Source organism: Homo sapiens, chromosome 19 (genome assembly GCF_000001405.40).
Source record: "Homo sapiens chromosome 19, GRCh38.p14 Primary Assembly".
NCBI classification, from domain to species: Eukaryota; Metazoa; Chordata; class Mammalia; order Primates; family Hominidae; genus Homo; species Homo sapiens.
Window position 1 is genome coordinate 55,695,051 of NC_000019.10, and position 22,126 is coordinate 55,717,176.

General features: G+C 49.9%; 2 protein-coding genes and 1 pseudogene across 5 annotated transcripts in view, besides 2 other annotated features; 2 read left to right on the forward strand and 1 right to left on the reverse strand.

The window, feature by feature from the left end:
• EPN1 (epsin 1) overlaps positions 1-14,483 on the forward strand; it is a 34,308-nt gene extending 19,825 nt beyond the window's left edge. For all 4 annotated transcript variants that reach the window (NM_001130072.2, NM_001321263.2, NM_013333.4 and 1 more), the window contains one exon: positions 98-14,483. In NM_001130072.2, coding sequence (NP_001123544.1) covers positions 98-306 — 209 coding nt within the window. In that variant the 3' untranslated portion in view covers positions 307-14,483. The remainder of the gene's footprint in view (positions 1-97) is intronic.
• Positions 6,704-7,588: an enhancer, noted in NCBI's record as "H3K4me1 hESC enhancer chr19:56213120-56214004 (GRCh37/hg19 assembly coordinates)". NCBI's record gives its function as "activates a minimal SCP1, AML or CMV promoter by ChIP-STARR-seq in naive H9 embryonic stem cells {active_cell/tissue: H9 hESC(naive)}" and the evidence as "EXISTENCE:reporter gene assay evidence [ECO:0000049][PMID:30033119]".
• Positions 7,093-7,387: a silencer, noted in NCBI's record as "tiled region #1300; K562 Repressive non-DNase unmatched - State 8:EnhW". NCBI's record gives its function as "represses a minimal TATA promoter and a strong SV40 promoter by Sharpr-MPRA in K562 cells {active_cell/tissue: K562}" and the evidence as "EXISTENCE:reporter gene assay evidence [ECO:0000049][PMID:27701403]".
• On the forward strand, positions 12,527-12,808 carry VN1R106P (vomeronasal 1 receptor 106 pseudogene; annotated as a pseudogene).
• NLRP9 (NLR family pyrin domain containing 9) overlaps positions 13,388-22,126 on the reverse strand; it is a 29,965-nt gene continuing 21,226 nt past the window's right edge. Inside the window, exons 5-9 of the mRNA NM_176820.4 lie at positions 21,678-21,848; positions 20,005-20,175; positions 17,370-17,540; positions 16,750-16,920; positions 13,388-13,994 (exon numbers count right to left, since the gene is read on the reverse strand). Of these exons, the coding sequence (NP_789790.2) occupies positions 13,862-13,994; positions 16,750-16,920; positions 17,370-17,540; positions 20,005-20,175; positions 21,678-21,848 (817 nt within the window). The 3' untranslated portion in view covers positions 13,388-13,861. The remainder of the gene's footprint in view (positions 13,995-16,749; positions 16,921-17,369; positions 17,541-20,004; positions 20,176-21,677; positions 21,849-22,126) is intronic.

The following is a 22,126-nucleotide window of genomic DNA, read 5'->3' on the forward strand; positions in this document are numbered from 1 at the left end:
GCAGGGACACTTCGCCCTTTGCCTGCACATGCTGGATGGACACAGGTGGGCTGCGCCACTGACTCCACTCCGTGTCTCTGGTTTACTCTTCCTGCAGGAGGCCCAGCCACTGGCCCTTCCGTCACCAACCCCTTCCAGCCCGCGCCTCCCGCGACGCTCACCCTGAACCAGCTCCGTCTCAGTCCTGTGCCTCCCGTCCCTGGAGCGCCACCCACGTACATCTCTCCCCTTGGCGGGGGCCCTGGCCTGCCCCCCATGATGCCCCCGGGCCCCCCGGCCCCCAACACTAATCCCTTCCTCCTATAATCCAGGGCGGAAGGGGGCCTGGCTCCATCCGGCTGCCCCATTCCGGCTCCCTGGGAGATCAGTGTTGTGAGTGCATGTGAAATGGGGGATCCCCACCCCCAGTGCCCTTCCCCTTCCTGGGGCCCACTCACACTACACCCTCTTCCTTTCCCACCCCACCTCCCCGGAGAGAAACTGGACATGGGGCCTGGGGAGGGGAGCTGGCCAGAGGAGGACCCCTTTCCCGTGGCATTAGAAGGGGGAGGGGTGGCTGGGGCCCCCACCCATTCCCCCTCCCTCCAAACTCCCAACCCCCAGTCAGTGTTTGAGCCTCCTCGTTCCCCTCACGCACCCGCTCACGCACCCTCGGTGAATCCTTGGTGATGATTTTGGCAACTTTGGGAATAAATGGCAATTCCCACGGGCTTGGCACTCCCAGATTCCCATCTGTGATTTCGTGTGTCCCCCAGAGCCCCTTCATCCAGGGACCCAGGGCTCAGGTCACATCTCTTTCTCGGGGGTGGCTGGCAACCAGCCCCTCTGTCTCAGAAGCCCTGATTTCCCTGACCCTCCCAGGTCAAGGGATGGCTGGGTTGAGGGTGGACTGTGCGAGGCCTGGCGGAGCTGTAGCCCACACAGGTCCAGGTGGTCGGGAGGCCACTCATGGCCAGACGCTTCCGGTGCAGGAGGCCTTGCTCTTGTGTTGAGGGGACACCAGGATGAGGTCAGAGAGTGCACTGGGGTTCAGGGAGGAGAAGAATCCTGAGAGATGGCACATGTGCAACACAGGTCACCGTCGCCATCGCCCGGGCCCACCGCAAGCATCACTAATCCATCCCTGCACTCCTGGAAAGCCGGGTCAGCCTCTGCCGGCTGAGCTGAGTGGACCACCAGGCGCCTCCTGGTTGTCCTCTGTGTGCTGTTTTCCTCTGTGTGCTCTTGTCCTGGGCTGGACCACACCTGGTGAGACTATCCGGGAGAATCCTCGGGCCGCCTTGTGAGGGGGGTGTTGCTGTCATCTCCAGGGCTAGGTGACAGCTTGTTGCAGGCCCCACAGCCAGGGCCTCAGGGATGGGGATCTGGCCATGTCTGTTTTAAGCCGAACAGGCTGTTCTTCCATGTGGAGTCTCCCTCCGTGATCCCCTGGGGTCAAGTCCTGACGGCTGGGTTCGCTCCCTCAGTGACTCCGACAGCTCTTGTCTCAGAGGTGCTGGGGTGAAGGCTGTGTGGGGCCAGGCCCCTGGGGTCAGACTTCTTGCCCCTTCTGCCCGGGGGACGCTCTGGGCTCAGGGTGGGGCCAGACAGCTACATCACAGGGACACTTGTTATGGGTCGGGGTCCAGGGAGCACCCAGCCAGTGGAGTGTTGGAGGCCACTGAGAGGGACATGACTGCGGTGTCCGAGCAGCGTCGTGGCCACCCTGTGTGCCCACTCCCTGGTGGACAGACCTACGTCACCTGGGGATTGCAGAGCAAAAGGAGTGCTGTTGGGGTGATGTGAGGTTGGGGTTCTGTTTCTTGCTGTGAATTGGGTCATGACCTGTGTCGGAGCGTTCTCTGGCCTCCACTTGCCCCTGCAGACCAGGGTGTCTGGAGGGTTGTCGGGGGCTTGATGGAGGAATTGCTGACCACACCATGCAGGAAGAGGTGGGTCCCAGGGACACAGGAACTTTGGGGTCAGCCGGTTCCAGATTCAGTTGCAGAGGAGCATCCCCCTTGCTTAGCCAGGGAGGGGAAGCCCTCTTCTCACACCCGGCCTGGGTATGTTGTGGGAGAGTCATTTCCCAGGAGGAAATGGGGACTGTTACCGGGGGAGGGGGTGCTGTCCCCAGGCAGCAGCAAGCGTCCCTTACGCTTGGGCTGTCCGAGACCCTGCTGCTCTAGGCGGTTGTGATGGGGGAGCCCCACAGGGCACAGAGAGCCAGCTGAAGGCGGCAGCTCTGGGTGGGATCACATGGAAAGGGGAGGCGAGCCGAGCCTCCCTCTTGCCAATCTTGGTCTCCCCACAGGGTCATAGCTCCTGGGCCCCTCACTTGTCAGACCCTCCATTCACCAAATTAAGGATAAGTTTCACGATTTCGCACTGCGGAGCCTGCACTCCCTTTCTCTTCAAAAAAGCTGAGGACGAAGATAAAATGATACAGTTGGATTAGTCCAGTGGAGGGGTTAAAGGTGTGAGGCTTTAATTCTCCCCACCATTTCCTCATTTGGCAAAACAGAGAAGACAGGATTGAAAAACAAGACAAAAACCCAGAGGCTTGCACATAAATTTGGGGCTTAACTACAGCATCTTCGGCATCTTCTTTTCCCTACAGTGCGAATTACAAAGTAGCACCACAGATCTCGTGTCTCCTACTTTATTCCTCTTTCTAGAATATTCCAGCCACCAAAGTGCTCAGCAGGAGCTGCTGTGTAGGAGTCCCCCATGAGGCCCAAGCACCTGAGCTTAGTGACATACACGGTTGAACGCTGGGAGAATGCTGGGAGCCTGCTGTTGTCCCCGATTGAGGGCTCCCCCCACTGTGTGTGTATCACTCTTTCTACAGCAGATGTGTCTCTCTCCCCACAGTGGGATGGCGAGCTTGTTAAATGGCCGTGAGGAAGACTTTATTCAGGACCATCGAGACAGGTACAGGTACCATCAGTGGATGGAAAATCACTAAGAGCAAACCTCAGGGGTCCGGGGGTTTTCGGCTAAACCCACCTAGCAGGATTCTTGCTGAAGGCAGGCCAGGGTGATCAGAGGTCACCTGGGGATGGTGGAGGCTGAAGAAGCCTATCAGATGTGAGGGTGGCGGGGGTTGGGGGGGATGGCGGCGGGGTTCATTTGCTGAAAGGATTTTACAAGGGCATGCACGGATGGGCCTAGGAGGAGGTTCAGATCCCTCAGGTTTGGCTAAGCAAGAGTCATGGTGGTGCTCCCGGCTGGCTCTCAGGAGCAGATGTGCTTCTGACCCGACGTCTTCCCCCAGAGAGGGCTGAAGTGGAAAAAACCCCAGAATTTCTCCCTGGGACAGGTGAAGCGATGGGGCGTGGGACATTCCTGGGTCTCGACTCTGTTCAGGGCCTAGGGGTTGGGTGGGGAAGGCACTTGAGGGAACCTTCCTGGAGCCCGTAGGAGCTTCATCCGAGCTCCTGGGTCACCCCGCCCACCAGAGTCCAGGCCCACCAGAGTCCCCTGCCACCTGTGCTCACCCTAGCCTTACCCCTCGCTCTACTCCCGCCCTCGCCCTATCCTCGCTCCTCGCCCTACGCTTGCCCCTCGCTCTGGAGCTGCGATGCCAGCCTCAGGGCTTTCAGTCCTGCCTTGATCTTTTTTTATACTGAAACTCAATTTTACACACACAAACCCACTCCCAGCCAGCCTCTGCCTTTTGCCTTTTCCTCATGTTCTCATTGAATAGGAAGAAATGCCCTTTTTTTTCCCCCCTAGAAGGAGTCTTGCTCTGTTGCCAGGCTGGAGTGCAGTGGCACGATCTCGGCTCACCGCAACCTCCACCTCCCGGGTTCAAGCGATTCTCCTGCCTCAGCCTCTCGAGTAGCTGGGATTACAGGTGCCCACCACCACGCCCAGCTAATTTTTTTTTGTATTTTTAGTACAGACGGGGTTTCACCATGTTAGGATGGTCTCGATCTCCTGACCTCGTGATCCGCCTGCCTCGGCCTCCCAAAGTGCTGGGATTACAGGCGTGAGCCACTGTAGCGGCCCCCACCCCATTTCATTTTTTATTTTTTTATTATACTTTAAGTTCTAGGGTACCTATGCACAACGCGCAGGTTTGTTACATATATATACATGTGCCATGTTGGTGTGCTGCACGCATTAACTCGTCATTTACATTAGGTATATCTCCTAATGCCTTCCCTCCCGCCTCCCCCAGGCCCTTAGTTTGTGCTGCTCTGCGTTGGTTTTCTGCGTGTGCTAAAAGGGGAGGGAGAGTTTCTGTGCCCATTCCCAGGCACCTTCTTGCAGCCGCAGGCATCTCCCCCACACGTGCTTCTAGCTTCCCGGGTGTGGCGTGAGCCATTGCGTCCGGCCAGAAATGTTTTATTTCTTGAGAACTTGTCTGTCTCTGTGATGACTGTGGGTTGTCCAGCTCATCCCTCAAGCGCCATCCTGCCAGGCCCTTCACTGTGGTGAGAAACCGGCCTACTCACATCACAGGTGCCCCTGGAGTTTCTCAAACTGCAGCCCAAGGATTGGCTGCTTGCTTTTGTAAAAAAAAATGTTTTATTAGAGTGCAGCCACGGCTGCTTCTGCACTACAGTGGCAATGGTGACATTGAGTGTGGCAGAGACCGAGTGTCCCTTGAGCCTAAAATATTTACTATCTGGCTCTTCAACAAAAAGTGTGCTGACCCCCGGTGATTGCTTGTATGTGGCAGGGGTCTAAGGCCTGCCTGCACGTCCTGGGACAGCCCACGCTTCCACAGGGTTCCAGCATGCTTTCCGCCGAGAAATCGCTCCCTTTGCTGTTTGTTTTGTATTGAATGTTTCTTCATGCTTTTGTTTTACTTTCAGGGATAATTATATAATGTTATGTTTCATCCACATTATTTTAGTATGGATATTTATAATTTCCTAAAGCACTATTTTTTTTTTTTGAGACAGAGTCTTGCTCTGTCGCCCAGGCTGGAGTGCAGTGGCTCGATCTCTGCTCACTGCAAGCTCCGCCTCCTGTGTTCACGCCATTCTCCTGCCTCAGCCTCCCAAGTAGCTGGGACTACAGATGCCCACCACCATGCCCAGCTAATTTTTTTGTATTTTTTTAGTAGAGACGGGGTTTCACTGTGTTAGCCAGGATGGTCACGATCTCCTGACCTCGTGATCTGCCCACCTCGGCCTTCCAAAGTGTTGGGATTACAGGCTTGAGCCACTGTGCCCGGCCCATAAAGCACTATTTAATGACTGCTCCATAAATACAAACTTCCTTTCCTTATTATTATTATTTATTTTTTTTTTGAGATGGAGTCTTGCTCTCGTCCCCCAGGCTGGAGTGCAGTGGCGCGATCTCGGCTCACTGCAACCTCCGCCTCCCGGGTTCAAGCGATTCTCCTGACTTGGGACTACAGGTGCGTGCGACCACAGCCAACTCATTTTTCTGTTTTTAGCAGAGACAGGGTTTCACCATATTGGCCAGGCTGGTCGAACTCCTGACCTTGTGATCCACCCGCCTCGGCCTCCCAAAGTGCTGGGATTACAGGCGTGAGCCACGGCACCCGGCCCATAATTACAAACTTTCTGAGGGACATCTTGAAGCACACAAAACTATAGACAATATTATCATAACCACCCCTGCAAATGCCTCACTCGTGTTCAGCCATCATTTACATTTGAACCACTCCTGTTTCACCTACAGCCTCCTCATGGCCCCTCCCCTGGAGCACTTAAAAATGGTAATGACATGCTCTCTAGTAATCGTTGTGTGTTACTGTCAAAAGGTATAACTCATGCATTGATGGGGGTAACCCCTACAGCAGTTAACCCTGCGTGCTCAGAGGGGAATGAAAGGTAGCTCAGAGGCTCGGGAGGTGAGGTTGCAAAATGGCTTGTGTTGTGGGGAATGTTCTCATCCACCCAAATCAAGCATCACTACATCCATCCGCAGGGGAGGCAAGCTTAGGGCATCACGTCCAGGAGTGGCCAGGTCCCGATGTCACGGGGAGCCGGGCTGGGACAAGCTCCAGACGGCCAGGGTGGTGTGGGTTTGCAGTGGGAGGGCTGGCGCGGGGGCCCTGAGGGCTCCCTGGTTCCCATCTTATCAAGATGCTGGACTCGGTGCTTGAAACATGTCCTGACAGCCACATGAAAAGGGTTAGAAATGATACTGTTTCGCCTGGGTGCTGTGGCTCATGCTTGTAATCCTAGCACTTTGGGAGGCCGAGGCGGGCGGATCACGAGGTCAGGAGTTCGAGACCAGCCTGGCCAACATGGCGAAACCCCGTCTCTACTAAAAATACAAAAATTAGCCTAGTGTGGTGGCGGGCACCTGTAATCCCAGCTACTTAGGAGGCTGAGGCAGGAGAATCGCTTGAACCCAGGAGGCGGAGGTTGTAGTGAGCCGAGATTGCACTACTGCACTCCAGCCTGGGTGACAGAGTGAGACCCTGTCTCCAAAAAAAAAAAAAAAATGATACTGTTTCCTGTATTTTTTTCTCTTAGTATCTTAAGAAATACATGATTTGAACAAGGACCTTGTGTCTCCTCTCCCCTTTCCCGGACTATTCTGACCCCAGCAGTTCTCAGAAGGAGCTGACATTAATGAGAACTTCTCCCTGTTAGACCCTTAAAATACTGAGCTTTCGGGACCCTGCCTGGCTTGTTCCTGTAAAACGGTCTTGTCTGTGGTAAATACTAAGGTTTTTGGTCTCACAGCCGAGGAAATCAAGGATGTGGATGCACACAGAGTGAGATTTGGAGCAGGAGTTTAATAGGCAAAAGGAAGAAACAGCTCTGTCACAGAGACGGGTCCCGAACGGGTTGTGAAGTTGTAGAAGAAATGTCAGGGGTTTTATAGATGGGCTAGTGAGGAGGGGTGTCTTTTCTTCCTAGGGCCTGAAGAACCAGTTAGGACCAGGTGTGCTGTCTGCATCGAGCAGAGTCTCTAGCAGCCCCCACCCCATTCTTTTTTTTTTTTTTTTTTTTGAGATGGAGTCTCGCTCTGTCGCCCAGGCTGGAGTGCAGTGGTGTCATCTTGGCTCACTGCAACCTCCGCCTCCCAGGTTCAAGCAATTCTCGTGCCTCAGCCTCCCGCGTAGTCGGGATTACAGGTGCATGCAGCCATGCCCGGCTAATTTTGTATTTTTAGTAGAGACAAGGTTTCACCATGTTGGTCAGGCTGGTCTCCAACTCCTGACCTCAAGTGATCCGCCTGCCTCGGCCTCCCAAAGTAGTGGGATTGCAGGCGTGAGCCACCGCGCCGGGCCCCCACCCCATTCTTTGATCCTGCAGGCAGGCCCTTCGTTTGTGCTGCTCTGCGCTGCTGCTTATCTGTGTGTGCTAAAAGGGGAGGGAGTGTTTCTGTGCCCATTCCCAGGCACCTTCGTGCAGCTGCAGGCATCTCCCCCACGCGCTTCCAGCTTCCCTTAGTGTGCCTAAAGAAAGGGAAAGGAATGTGCTTTAGGCCCACTGTTTTCACTGGGGCCCATCTATGTATGTGGCTTGGTGATTACCCAGGAACCTCCCAAGTCTGTGCCCGAGTTGCTTATCTGTGTTTTACAGCCTGAAAGATCAGGCTGCTCTTTGTTAGGAGAAGTGATTTCTTTGAACTGCGTGGTGTGGTGAGAAAGGGAGCAATTTCTAAGCTGCTTTTTGTTAGGAAGTTTTTTGCTGGGGACTCTCTTCGCCCTATCTACCTAAATGATTTCTGTTTCTTACATCAATTGGGTATTGATTTCAGGTAGAATGGGTGAATGCATTTATTCGTTCATCTAAGCCGCATTTACTCCTTTCTTTTCTTTCACTGTTGTTTTTTTTTTGAGACGGAGTCTTGCACTGTCACCCAGGCTGGAGTGCAGTGGTGCGATCTCGGCTCACTGCAAGCTCCACCTCCCGGGTTCATGCCATTCTCCTGCCTCAGCCTCCCGAGTAGCTGGGACTACAGGCGCCCACCACCACGCCCGGCTAAGCTAATTTTTTGTATTGTTAGTAGAGACGGGGTTTCACCGTGTTAGCCAGGATGGTCTCAATCTGACCTTGTGATTCCGCCCACCTCGGCCTCCCAAAGTGCTGGGATTACAGCCGTGAGCCACCGCACCTGGCCTCTTTCAGTTTTGATAGCAGATTATTTCCTTTGGCCCTGCGTGGTCTCTCTCTGGCTGGGCAGCTCTGGGCCAGCCATAAATGGAGGGGAGGGCGTGTGTGTGGCCACGTGTGTTTCTGTCCTGGACAACACTGTCCGGAGGGGCCTAAGTGGGAAGTGCCCTCAACCAAGGAGATAGCTGCTGTGTGTGTGTGTGTTGTGTGTGGTTGGGACAGTCGGGGATTCTCACTTTTTTTTAAAATTTGAGATGGAGTTTCACTGTCGTCACCCAGGCTAGAGTGCAATGGTGTGATTTCGGCTCACTGCAACCTCTGCCTCCCGGGTTTAAGCGATTCTCCTGCTTCAGCCTCTCAAGTAGCTGGGATTACAGGTGCCCGCCACCACGCCCAGCTAATTTTTGTATTTTTAGTAGAGACGGGGTTTCACCACGTTGGCCAGGCTGGTCTGGAACTCCTGACCTCAGGTGATCCACCTGCCTCGGCCCCCCAAAGTACTGGGATTACAGGCGTGAGCCACTGGGCGCAGCCTGGGATCCTCACTTTTTCGCAGATTGGTCACTAGCAGGGCGTCTGATGGAACTTTCTGAGATGCCGGAAATGTTCTCTGTGCTGTACAAAAGGGATGCCACTAGCCACATGCCACGTAGAACAGTTGAAATGTGGCCAGCATGAGATTTTTTTAATCTTGCCAATTTTTGATGGATTTAAGTTTAAGCACCTGCGTGTGAGCGGCTACCGCGTGGGCTGGGATTGGAGGAAGCTGGAAAGCGCTCCCCTGCGTTTCGGCTGCTGGCCCAGCAGAGGGCGCCGGAGAGCGGACGGAGCCGCAGGCGGGGTTGTGGGAAGACGCTGGGATCCCGTGCGCGCTTGTGCTCCTTCCTTCTGGGCCAGCGCGCAGACTATCAACCGAGGTATTCAGTCCCTCGGAAACCCAGTTCCTCCGTTTCCAGGCTTCTCGCCCACACGGAGACAGTCGCTCTCACACGTACCTCTCGCGGGCTCTTACTCGTGGTCCCGGTCTCCTCCTGGTCCCCACCTTCCAGCCCAGCGCGCACACTAGACGGCACGTGCTCTCCACGCTCTTTCTCCAGCGCCCCTTGCTCACCCGCCCCCCGTTGGAGTGGCCCATCCTCTCCGCTTAGACACCTGCAGTCACTGTCACTAGCTGAACTGCGCCCTCCTGAAAGCTCTATGTTGAAACCCTACCCCCCACCCTGCACCGACCCCGTACCCCAGAATGGGGCTGTATTTGGAGACAGGGCCTTTACAAGGTAAGTAAGGTTAAAATGAGGACATTAGGGTGGGTCCTAATCCAATCTGACTGTTATATAGTGGGGTTGCACCTTCATGTGAGGACGCCGGGAGAAGACAGCCGTCTGGGAGCCAAGGAGAGAGGCCTTGGCGGAAGCCAACCCTGCAGCACCTTCATCTTGAATTTCTGGTTTCCAGAACTGTGAGAAAATCCATTGACGTTCTATAGCGCTCCCAGCTGGCGGTACTTTGTTATGACAGCCCTAACATGAATGCAGCCATCCACACTGTCTGGGGGAAGGCACACACACCCCACAGCACCCTTGCTGTCTCACCCCGTATCGCAAAAGCTCACGCATGTGTCTCTCCCGAGTCCCTGGAGGGTCCTGCCACCTACATCTCTCTCCTTGGCCTGCCGCCTGTGATGCTCCTGGGCCCCCTGCTCCAGCACCGCTCCCTTCCTTCTGTAATACAGACAACAGAGACAGGAGATGGCCTGGCCCCACTTCATTTCTGTTCCCTGGGAAATAAGCATCGCAAGTGATCCGTAGAATGGTAGACATCATCCACTTCCCAAGCATCTCTGGCTGAATGCTGTTCTCATCCACTTCCCAAGCATCTCTGGCTGAATGCTGTTCTACACATGCACGTGGGAGGCACCAGGGAGCCCAGAAGAAATGAAAAGCCTGGGCAGACTCGCAGTTCTGCCACACAGTGAATGTGCTACTCAAGCCACTCAGCCTGGGCTGCAGAGGTTGGAAGCCTCACTGGCCTGAGGTTTCTGAGTAAGCTCTGACCCAATCATTGACTATTAAACTTCAGAGGTCCATGGAGACCTCTTAGGAGTCTTTGAAGGAACTTAGCATAGATACCGATAGCTGCTGACTGCAGGGAGATGGGGAGATATGTTTTGTAAACCTGTCCAGGCAACTTTTTTGCCTACGGAAACACACAAAAACGAAAACAAACCAATGAAAAAAACCTCTCAGAACGATACAGAATCCAGAGCCACTACAACACATTTCATGAAGTGGCGTGAGCCTGTAATTCCAGCAGTTTGGGAGGCCGGGGCGAATGGATGACTTGAGGTCAGGAGTTCGAGACCAGCCTGGCCAACATGACAAAATCACCATCTCTACTAAAAATACAAAAATTAGTCATGCATAGTGGCATGCACCTGTAGTCCCAGCTACTCGGGATGCTGAGATGGGAGAATCGTTTGAGCCCGGGAGGTGGAGGTTGCAGTGAGCCGAGATCGCACCATTGCACTCCAGCATGGACAACAGAGCAAGACCCTTTCTTAGAAAAAAGAAAAGTATCCCCGAACATTATCAGAGTCAAGTTAATAAAGGCCAAAGGTAGAGAAAATCTTGAAAGTATCGAGAAAATGACATGTCAATCATAAGGTCAGGTTCTTCAACAGTCATACTGACATTGTGGCTGGAATATTTGTTGTTGTGGGATATATATATATATATATATTTAGAGTGTTGTGGGATATATATATATATTTAGAGACAAGGTCTTGCTCTATCACTAAAGCTGCATTGCAGTGTGTGATCATAGCTCACCATGGGATTCTTGATTTTCAGTGAGTATAAAGTGTAAGACAAAATAAGTCTTAGTTCAGGTATGCTGGATGGGAAGCCAGAGGTCTGCATAGCAGTTACAAAGAAGGCCTTATTATCTGGAAGAAAAGGGACCATAGAATGTCCATTGGTTGGGGAACAACCCAGCTTTAGTTTTTCCAGATTCTCTGCATGTGCAGGTTTATGAGACTGGAGAACTTTGATTTCTTCTTCCTCCTCCTCCTCTCTTTTCTTCTTCCTCTTCCTCCTTTTTCTCCTCCTTTCTTCCTTTATTTTTCTTTCTTCCTTTCCTCCTCTTTCTTCTCCTTTTTCCTCCTCTTTTCTTCCTTTCTTCTCTTTTTCTTCTTCTTTTTTTTTTTTTTTTAAAAGACCGTGTTTCGCTCTGTCACCCAGGCTGGAATGCAGTGGCGTACTGTTTTAGAAAAGTGAAAGAGGGCCGGGCGTGGTGGCTCATGTCTGAAATCCTAGCACTTTGGGAGGCTGAGGCGGGTGGATCACCTGAGGTTGGGAGTTCGAGACCAGCCTGGCCGACATGGCAAAACCCTGTCTCTACTAAAAATACAAAAATTAGCCGGGCATGATGGCAGATGCCTGTAATCTCAGCTCCTCAGTAGGCTAAGGCGGGAGAATCGCTTGAACCCAGAGGCAGAGGCTGCAGTGAGCCAAGATTGCAGCATTGCAGGAAAGAGAGAAAAAGGAGGGAAGGGGAAGGAAAAGGAAAGAAAGAAAAGAGGGGAAGGGAAGGGAGAGATTTAAAAAACAATAGTAAAGAGAGATTTAAAAAACAATAGTAAAGAGAGATTAAAAAAAAAAAGTAAATGGGCCAGGTGCGATGGCTTGTGCCTGTAATCCCAGCAGTTTGAGAGGCTGAAGTGGGAGGATCACTTGAAGCCAGGAGTACCAGACCAGCCTGGGAAACATAGTGAGACCCCGTCTATACTAAAAAATATTTAAATGGGCTGAGCGCGGTGGCTCAGGCCTGTAATCCCAGCACTTTGGGAGGCCGAGGCAGGCGGATTACCTCAGGTCAGGAGTTTGAGACCAGCCTGACCAACATGGCAAAACCCCATCTCTACTAAAAATACCAAAACAAAAACTAGCAGGGCATGGTGGCGCATGCCTGAAATCCCAGCTACTCAGGTGGCTGAGACAGGAGAATCACTTGAACCCAGGAGACGGAGGCTGCAGTGAGCCGAGATTGTGCCACTGCACTCCAGCCTGGGCGAGCAACAGAGTGAGGCTGTCTCTCAAAAAAAAAAAAAAAGGAACGGTAGTGTGCACCTGTGGTCCCAGCTACACAGGAGGCTGAGGCAGGAGCATCACTTGAACCCAGGAGTTCAAGGCTGCAGTGAGCTATGATGGCACCACTGCCCTCCAGACTGAGCCAAAAAGCAGACCCTGACTCTAAAACAAAAGAAAGAACAAATAACAAATGAAAATAAATACCCAAAAACCAGTCAAATGTGAAACTGGTGTCAGGGGTATGTTCTCCATGTTGAGCCCCTTCTGTGGAATATGACAGTGTCTCTATTTCGGGTAAAGGAAAGACCAAAATAACTTTCCAAGATGAAAAGCTAAGAGTGCTGATCTCATCACAGACATAGCCAGCTCTTCAGTTCAGACCACCTGGAAACCCTCCCCATGTCTTTTCAGAACAATGTCCTAAGAACCATAGGGGAAGTGGCCATAAAAACCATCTTTCCTTTGCAGACTGGGGTGGGGACTCTGGCCAATGCCATTCTGTTCTTCCATAATATCTTTCCCATCTTGACTGAGCATCAAATGAGGCCCACACACAAGATTCTCACCCACATGGCCGTGGCAAACTCCTTGGTTCTTCTTTCCACTGGAATCCCCCACACAATGGTGTCTTTTGTCCTATGGAAACCCTTGTCCAGTCTTGAGTGTAAACTCGTGTTTACAGGTCTTAAAGTCCTGACCTGGTGATCCGCCCGCGTGGACCTCCCAAAGTGCTGGAATTACAGGCGTGAGCCACCACTCCTGGCCTATGCCAGCATTCTTTAAAGTTGTGGGAAAAGGCCAAAAGCAAATAGAAAATTGGGCAAAAAAGTTCATAATTGCTTAAACATATGGAAAACCTGGAAGTAAAATTAAGCAAGTAAGTGCGAGCACTCTACATTGAAGATTATAGAAAATTCAGCCTCCCAAATATCCAAAGAATCCAGGAGTGTGCCAAGAGATCCAAGAGTAGGTCCACAATTTCTCATTCTCAGGAGAATCTGAGATTATATTTCAATCTAATGATAACTGATTATATAATCCAATTTCTGCATCATCTTGCTTTTATGTTTTGTAATAAAAATTTTAGACCAGGCCAATAAGGCATCAGCAATTTACCGTAGGGAACTAGGGAATGTTTAATTATGACAATGAAGTGTTTAATATTGTGTTTTGAAATATAAACAGTGTAGATATATTTGAATAATACTGAATTTTTAGAAAAATCTATTGGGGTGTCATATATAAAAGGATAAGTAGAGATTTGGAAATGCTTTTTTATTGGACAAGAAAATTGATCAAATCGAAATCTGGACAAACTAGAAAGTCTGGATGCTAGCAATACAATCTATAGACACATTCTAGCATCACTTCTGTGTCAGAAGTATCCGGATTGTGGTGCCTACAAATGCATGCTCCTACACACCAAGACATCCATTAAGAAAATAAAGCCATGCTTTCCAGAGCGTTTAGCACTTGTTTAACGTACTTGTGCTTCTAAATATCACAAGGCAGGATGGGATTTCTAAAGACAAGGGGATATAGGACCGAGGCAAAGACAATCAGCATGTACACTGAATCACACTCCATAATCATATTGCTAGAACACTTAGGGAGTACCTCTGAAATCACAGCCCTGCTGCCATGATGTGCAATTACAGGATAGAGGTGCCAGGTGAAGGTCCCACTGTGGCCAAGGAAAGCCTTTGTGAGACGACTACTTCAGGGTGTTCCCCATCAGAGGAGCACACCCCTGATCTTGTATTCCTCGTCAATCCAAGGTCCATGTGAAATGGTCAGATGGGGAATTTTTTCTTCCACAGACATCAGGATCTTCTGAGTTTCTTCATCAAAGCCAGATTTGTGCAGCCTGGGAAAATAGAAATAAAGTTTTTTTTTTTGTTTTTCATTTTTACACAGTATTGCCTCTCTACATTCTGATGTCTACCTCTCCTCTCCTCTTTATTCTTTCCTAGAAATCACTGGGAGAATTGTACTGAATTTGAAAAACAAGCATGAATCTTTCCTATAGGATAGGAAGCCTCTGATTTATACCATAAAGTGAAATTTCATATACAGGATGTATCAATTAAGATTTAATTCAAAAAAGATGAATTTAAGTTAAAAAGAAAAACACAGGATAACTTCCATTCATCTGATGTTCATATGCCCTGGCACATCTATTGCTTCTTATAATGTGCTTGCTTAAAAAAAAAAAACATGAGCTTTTCTCAGAGACACTAATATAATGAATTCATGTACCCATCACCAACTTCTACAATTACCAATATTCAGCCTCTTCCATTTACAACCTGCCCATTTTCTAAGAAATAATTAAAGCACATGCTACACCCATAAATATGTCAAACGTTCTTGTCTGTTTTCGCTATTTTCAGTTCCTTTCGTGTCATTGTCCCCTGAACCCACCTCAACAAAGCTGGTTTTTGTAGTCACCAATAACATCAATTTGTTAAATACATTCTATCCTACTTACCCAGTTAGCATTGAATACAGTTAATTACACTTTCTTGTTTATTTTTTCCCTTAGCTTACTGGACACGACTTCCTCCTGGCTTCTACTCCCTCAACAGCTATCGTTCTTGCTTTATACGTTGAATCTCTGTCTCTTTATAACTTCTAAATGTTCTCAGCATCAGGAAAATATAAAAAATAAGTTCACAAATAATTGGTAAGACTGGAACATAGGCCTTCCTGAAAGAATATAACTAACATTTGCAATTCTCTTCTCCCCTCTCCCGTGTCCTTCCTTCTTGCCAGGTGTTCATAGTTATATGCCTTTTTATCTCCAATTATAAAAAGAAGTTGAGGAGGATTAGCAGGTCACAAAATTTCGTAGACATTTAGACACAGGAGAAGTAGGAGTTTATCTTAAATCTTCAGAGGTAGGGAAGATGGCTAAGTTTCCTTTCAGCTACAGCGACACTATGAGAAAGTTACCCAGAAATAACTGCTCTGAATGCTTGCTACTGTGGAGATGACATGTTTTGGGTGTGGGGATGGTGGTTGAAGAGAAGGGAGACATTATTATTATTATTTTATAATGCAGGCCTTAAGTACCTGGCCTGTCCCTATGGGGACTGGGTCTCTGTCTCCTCTCTGAATTCATTTTTCCCTTTCTCTGCTATACAGCTCCCCGGGACTCCCTTCTGGCCCTGCAGGGTACAAGGCCTGGCCCCATCTCAGGGCCTTTATGTTTTGCTGTGCCCCCTTCACTTGGGGTCCTCCCTAGACATTCGTGATATGGTTTGAATCTGTGTCCCCACCCAAATCTCATATTTAATTGTAATCCCCAATGTTGGAGGTGGGGCCTGGTGGGAGGTGACTGGATCATGGGGGTGGATCCTTCGTGAATGGTTGAGCACCATCCCTTTGGTGCTGTTCTCATGATAGAGTTCTCACGAGATCTGGTTGTTTAAAAGTGTGTGGCATCCCCCCTGCTTCCTTTCCTCCTGCTCCCGCCACCAAAGACGTGCCTATTTCTGCTTCACATTCCGCCATGATTCAAAGTTTCCTGTGGCTACCTCAGAAGCAGAAGCTGCTATGCTTCTTGTACAGCCTGCAGATGCATAAGCCAATTAAACCTCTTTCCTTTATAAGTTACCAGTCTCTGCCAGGCATGGTGGCTCACGCTTGTAATCCCAGCTCTTTGAGAGGCTGAGGCAGGTGGATCACCTGAGGTCAGGAGTTCGAGACTAGCCTGGCCAACATGGTGAAACCCCGTCTCTACTAAAAATAGAAAAATTAGCTGAGCATGGTGGTGAGTGCCTGTAATCCCAGCTACTTGGGAGGCTGAGGCATGAGAATTCCTTGAGCCCGGGAGGCAGGGGTTGAAGTGAGCTGAGACTGTGCCACTGCACTCCAGCCTGGATGACAGAGCAAGACTCTGCCTCAAAAAAACAAAACAAAACAAAACAAAAAAAAAACCTTAAACAACATATTGTGAACTTTTCTTAGAGACACTAGCATAATGAATTCATGTACTCATCACCAACTTGAACAATTATCAATATTCAGCCTCTTCCATTTATACCCCGCCCATTTGTTTTTTAAAAAATAAAAAAATAACTTTTAAAAATTAAAAAAATAAAATCAGAAGGAAAAATTAACATAAAAAATTCATCCTACAGATTTCAAATAGGTACAACTCTAAAGGCAAACCTAATTTTCAGAACAACGTTAACTGCTGCCATTTGGCGAATGTATTTCTGAATCAAGACCTTAGCCCATTCCAGAAGCCCTTCTGAAGTCTGAGCTGGCGTTGCATATTTATGGGCAACGTAAGTAGAAGATGTTTTATAGAGCAGTGGTTCTCACCTGGTGCAACTGTGTCTCCGAGGGACTTCTGACAATTTCTGGAGCTCTTTTTGATTGTCACAACTGAGGGAAGTGCTACTGGCAACTCATGAGAAAGGCCGAGAATGTTGCTTGACATCTTACAATGTCAATGGTTTTTATATTTTATAGTGTCAACAGGGGCCCAAGGACAGGCCCCCACCACAAACAACCCTCCAGCCTGGCATCCATCATGTCGCGGTTGAGCAAATGGCCAATGAACTAAGCTCGTTCTGAAGTCACTCACCCCAAAGGAAACAGTGTCCACTCACCCCAGCATCTGCAGGGCACAGTCCGGGTGGCTCAATGCCTCACACAGCACCACCACTGCATCAGCATCCAAGGCAATCCAGTCGAGGTTCAGGCTCCTCAGTGTTTTGCAGGCGATGAGTGCTGCGGCGATGTCGTCGCAGCAGGCACGGGTGATCGGACACGTTTGCAGCCTGCAAAAGGGAAACACACCAGAGAATCCACTCTAGCTTTGGGTAGGCTGGAAGGCACGCCATTGTTACTTGCTAATTACACACCTCCCGGCAGGACGCTCTGCTGTCTAGACCCGGGCTTCTCAGCCAGGACGATTGTGCTCCTGGGGGACGTATGTCTAGTGACCTTTATCCCAACTGAAGGTGCTGCTGGCAACTTGAGGATAGTGTCCAGGGGCGCTGCTAAAGACCCTATCATGCACAGGATGGCCCCCAAGGCAAATAACTCTCCAGTTTCAAACAGCAAGAGTACCAAGACTGAGCAAACCCTGGGGCAGCATTTTACATATCAGATCGTCCCAGAGGGACTTGCTTTTAAACCTGCCTCCCTTCCATTCTATTGACCCTCCAGCAATTCCTATTCTTGAAATAGATAAATTTTCCTACGATGGTGATCAGTAGATACTCACCCGAGACACTCTAATTTACAGTGAGGATGCTGCAAAGCTGCACATAACTGTCTGACACCAGTGTCTCCTATTTCATTATGCCCAAGTTTCAGGGTCTTCAGTTTCCCATTGCAAATAAGAACAGCAGCAATGTCCTTACAGGAATCGGAAGTAAGGAAACAGCCCATCAACCTGGGGAGGTGGAAGACACACAAATACGTACACTTATGAGGTCAATCATAACAGCCCACCTTATTTTCATTTATTCATATGACGCAAGAAATACCCAAGTAAATCTGAGATGATGAGGAGGGTGGGGAGGGGAAGGAGGAGAGAAGAATGAGGGAGGAGAGAAGAGCAGAGGACGGGAGGGTGGGAGAATGAGGGAGGAGGGAAGAAGGGGAGAAAGAGGAGGGAGAGGAGTGGGAGGGGAAGAAGAGGGGAGGAAGAGGAGTGGGAGGGGAAGGAGGGGGAGGAGGAGGAGGGGGGAGGAGGAGGAGGGGGGAGGAGATGGAGGAGGGGGGAGGAGAAGGGGGAGGCGGAAAGGGAGGGGGAAGGGGAGGAAGAGAGGAGGAGGGAAGACAAAGAAGGTGGAAGCAGCAATGACTTCCCAGTTCCTCCACCTTCCCTACTCTGCTCCAACACTTTGGGGTCCCTGCACTTCTTCTCTCCTGCCTGGCTCTCTTTTCTCTGTGGCCTCTCCTCATTATTCTCCCTGGTTGAAATGCTCCTGCCCCAATTATCAGCATAGCTACCTCCTCCCCACCTTCAAATCCCTGTGCAAATGTCACCTTTTTGGTGAGCCCTCCCCTGACTATTTTGTATATCATGTGTCCAATCCCTCTCCAGGCCCCAAGCTGGTGATTCCTTACAGTACTTATTACTCCCTAATACAGATAGACAGAAAAATGGTAGATAGAGGACAGAGGATAGGGGACAGATGAATAGTTAATAGATGATAAATGACAGATGACATATAGATACATGATACACATAGATGTGTGGATAGGCACGTGTCTACCCACACTCACACATATATATGTATGTGTCTGATGTATGTACTTGTGTGTTGGTGGCTCTCAGGCAGGCAAGATTTTTGCCCACCAGAGGACACTGGTAGTGTCTGGAGACATTTTTGGTCTACCACGCCAGGAGAGAAAGTGCCCCTGGCACCTTCTCTCCCTCCTCCCCTCCTCCTCCTCTCCCTCCTCCCCTCTCCCTCTTACTCCCCTCCTCCTCCTCTCCCCTCTCCCTCCCCACCTCTCCCCTCTCCCTCCCCACCTCTCCCCTCTCCCTCCCCCTCCCCACCTCTTCCCCCCTCCTCCCCACCTCTTCCCCCCTCCTCCCCACCTCTTCCCCCCTCCTCCCCACCTCTTCCCCCCTCCTCCCCCCTTCCCCTCGTCCCTTACCTCTTTCATCCTCTCTTCCGCTCCTGCCCCGACTTCCATCCCCTCTTCCCCTCTCCTCCCCCATCCTCCCCTCTCCTCCCTCGTTCTTCTCTGCTCATCTAGTGGCTGAGAACCAGGGAAGCTGCTCAACACCCTAGGAAGCATGGGACAGCAGCCCCAACAACACAGAATGAATTGGGCTAAAATGCCCCCATGTCAATACTGAGAATCTAGGATGCAGACACATCCTTGCAGCCTCACACATGCATGTGTGTGTATCTGACACTCCATCAGATGGAAGTCCATGGGAACAGGGATGTTAGAATGCTCTATTGACCAACTTATCCACCTAGAAGCATCTTCAGTTCCTAGCAGAGGGAATGAATGAGTCTCACGCTCTGACTGTCATTTATCAAGAGTGTATGACAAGCCAGGCATTGATCATAGTCCTTCATGTGTGTGATTCCAACTGGCCATCTCGATTCTTTAAGGAGGAGGCTCTAGCTATCCTCTCATTACCTGGGGAGAGGTGAGTCACCTGCATGCATTGATCATAGTCCTTCATGTGTGTGATTCCAACTGGCCATCTCGATTCTTTAAGGAGGCTCTAGCTATCCTCTCATTACCTGGGGAGAGGTGAGTCACCTGCACAAGCTCAGGCAGTCAGGGCCACTCGGGACTCCATCCAGGCCTTTCTAGGGCTGGAGACCCAACTCCTGAGTCCCCTGCTGTGTCCTTACAACTCCTTCCCACTGAAGGTTCCCAGAACCAGGTGGGGTAAATGTATAGCCTCATCTGGATTTTTTTTTTTCAGAAGACACCATTCTCTTCTTGTCTCAGTCTATTTGGGCTGGTATAACAAAATGCCATAGACTGAAACGGGTCCCTTATAGACAACAGAAATGTATTTCTCACAGTTCTGGAGCCGGGAAGTCCAAGATCAAGATGCCAACAAATTCAGTGTCTGGCGAGGGCCACGTTCTGCTTTGGAAGTGGCATTTTCTCACGGCGTCCACAGATGGTGGAAGGGGCAGAAGAGTCTCTGGGGCCTCTTTTATAGGTGTGGGAGACTCCACCCTCATAACCTCATCACCTCCCAGAGGATCCACCTCCTAGTACCATCAGCCTGGGGGTGAGGACCCAACATACGAATTTTGGGAGGACATATACATTCAGATGCTAGCATATCCCTTTCCTATGTCTTTCCTAGAGCCACAGTATCCAAAAAAAGAAACCCTGACATTGAAGCAAATCATGGCCGGTCCTACCACAGCTCCCGTATGCTGCAGCCTGGGTGCTTCAGCGCTGCACACAGAGATGCCACTCCATTATCTTCCAGGGCATTTGAGCCCAGATCGAGGAGGGACAGGGACTTACTGCACAAGAGGACTTCGGAAATGGAGTCACAGGAGACAGAGGTGAGACAGCAGTACATCAACCTGCAAAGAAACACACCGTCTCCCAGCCTGCTGAACAGCAGTACATCATTCTGCAGAGAAACACACCATCTCCCAGCCCACTGAAGCTTCCTATGGTAATATTACCATATTTTCTTTGTCCCAGGCAAAACCTTTCCAGATGTTCCTTGAACTCTGCTGTCACTCAAGAAAATAAGGAGCTGGGTGCGGTGCCTCACGCCTGTCATCCCAGCACTTTGGGAGGCTGAGGCGGGCGGATCACCTGAGATAAGGAGTTTGAGACCAGCATGACCCACATGGTGAACTCCTGTCTCTACTAAAAATACAAAATTAGCCAGGCATGGTGACGCACACCTGTAATCCCAGCTACTCGGGAGGCTGAGGCAGGAGAATCGCTTGAACCCAGGAGGCGGAGGTTGCTGTGAGCTGAGATCGTGCCACTGCACTTCAGCCTGGGCAACAAGAGCGAAACTCCGTCTCAAAAAAAAGAAAAGGGGATTAAAACTTGTAACACCTACAGATGTACAGAAAGATGAATGTGGAATACAGTGTCCCAACAAACAATCTCAGATTCCAGTTCCAAGTCACATCATCACCAGCTGGAAGACCTAGGGCAAAAGTCACCCATTCTTTGCAACAGAGTATACATATGGCTTAACGGAATGTACTGGACGATATCCCATGTAGAATAATTTTTGTTTTGTTGTTTAATACACATATTTAAGGTTTTGTTAAAAGAATAGATTTTAAGTGCTCTAGTCACAAAAAAATAAAATGCTTCAATGATGTCAGATGATGAGTATGTTAGTTTCCTTGACGACAGTCAACATTTTACTATGGATATGTATGTCAAATACTTTTTGTTTTAAAAATTATTTAATCACAATGTACCGTATACTTCGCTGAGAGTTGATTTTAAATGTTCTCACATCCTCCAAAATGATAACTCTGTTAATTAGCTTGATTATAGTAATCATTTTACAGTGTATGCATATATCAGAACATCACACTGTATGGCTTAAATATATGCAATTTTTAAATTTAAAAATTTTCTTTTTTTTTTTTTTTTTTTGAGATGGAATCTTGCTCTGTCTCCCAGGCTGGAGTGCAGTGGCACAATCTCGGCTCACTGCAACCTCCACCTCCTGGGTTCAAGGGATTCTCCTGCCTCAGCCTCCCGAGTAGCTGGGAGTATGGGCATGCGCCACCACACCCAGCTAATTTTTGTATTTTTAGTACAGATGGAGTTTCCCCATGTTGGCCAGGCTGGTCTCAAACTCCTGAGCTCAGGTGATCCTCCCGCCTCAGCTTCTCAAAGTGCTGGGATTACAGGCATGAGCCACCACGCCCAGCCAGCTCCATTTTACTGATGAGCAACTGAGGCGTGGGAAAGGAACTCAGGTCTAGCTACGGATTCCGCATTCTGCTGCACCCCTCAGTGAGCACCGCGTTGCTTTGATAATGGGTGGATCCAGGTGCACGCTTCAGAAATCTCCGAACGTGCTTCCCGCAGACCAACTTACATCAGCCTCTCCAGGGCACAGTGTGAGTGCTTCAGGGCTTCACACAGCAACGTCATTCCTTCGTCCCTCAAGGGATTTTCTACCAAGGAGAGGTGTTTCAGCTTGCTGTTGCAGGCCAGGACGGAGGCGATGTCTTCACAAACTTCACTGGAGATGTCACACTTTCCCAGTCTACATGTGAAACACACACCATGAGACGGACCAAAGCTTTCAATCGCTCATGAAACATTATCCACAGACCAAACGACACCTCTGATTCTAGTCTTGCACCTGCCGATCCATTATCTACACTACAGACTCTTTTTCTTTTTTTTTTTTTTTTTTGAGAAGGAATCTCACTCTGTTGCCCAGGCAGGAGTGCAGTGGTGCGATCTCGGCTCACCGCAACCTCCACCTCCCGGGTTCAAATGATTCTCCTGCCTCAGTCTCCCAAGTAGCTGGGATTACAG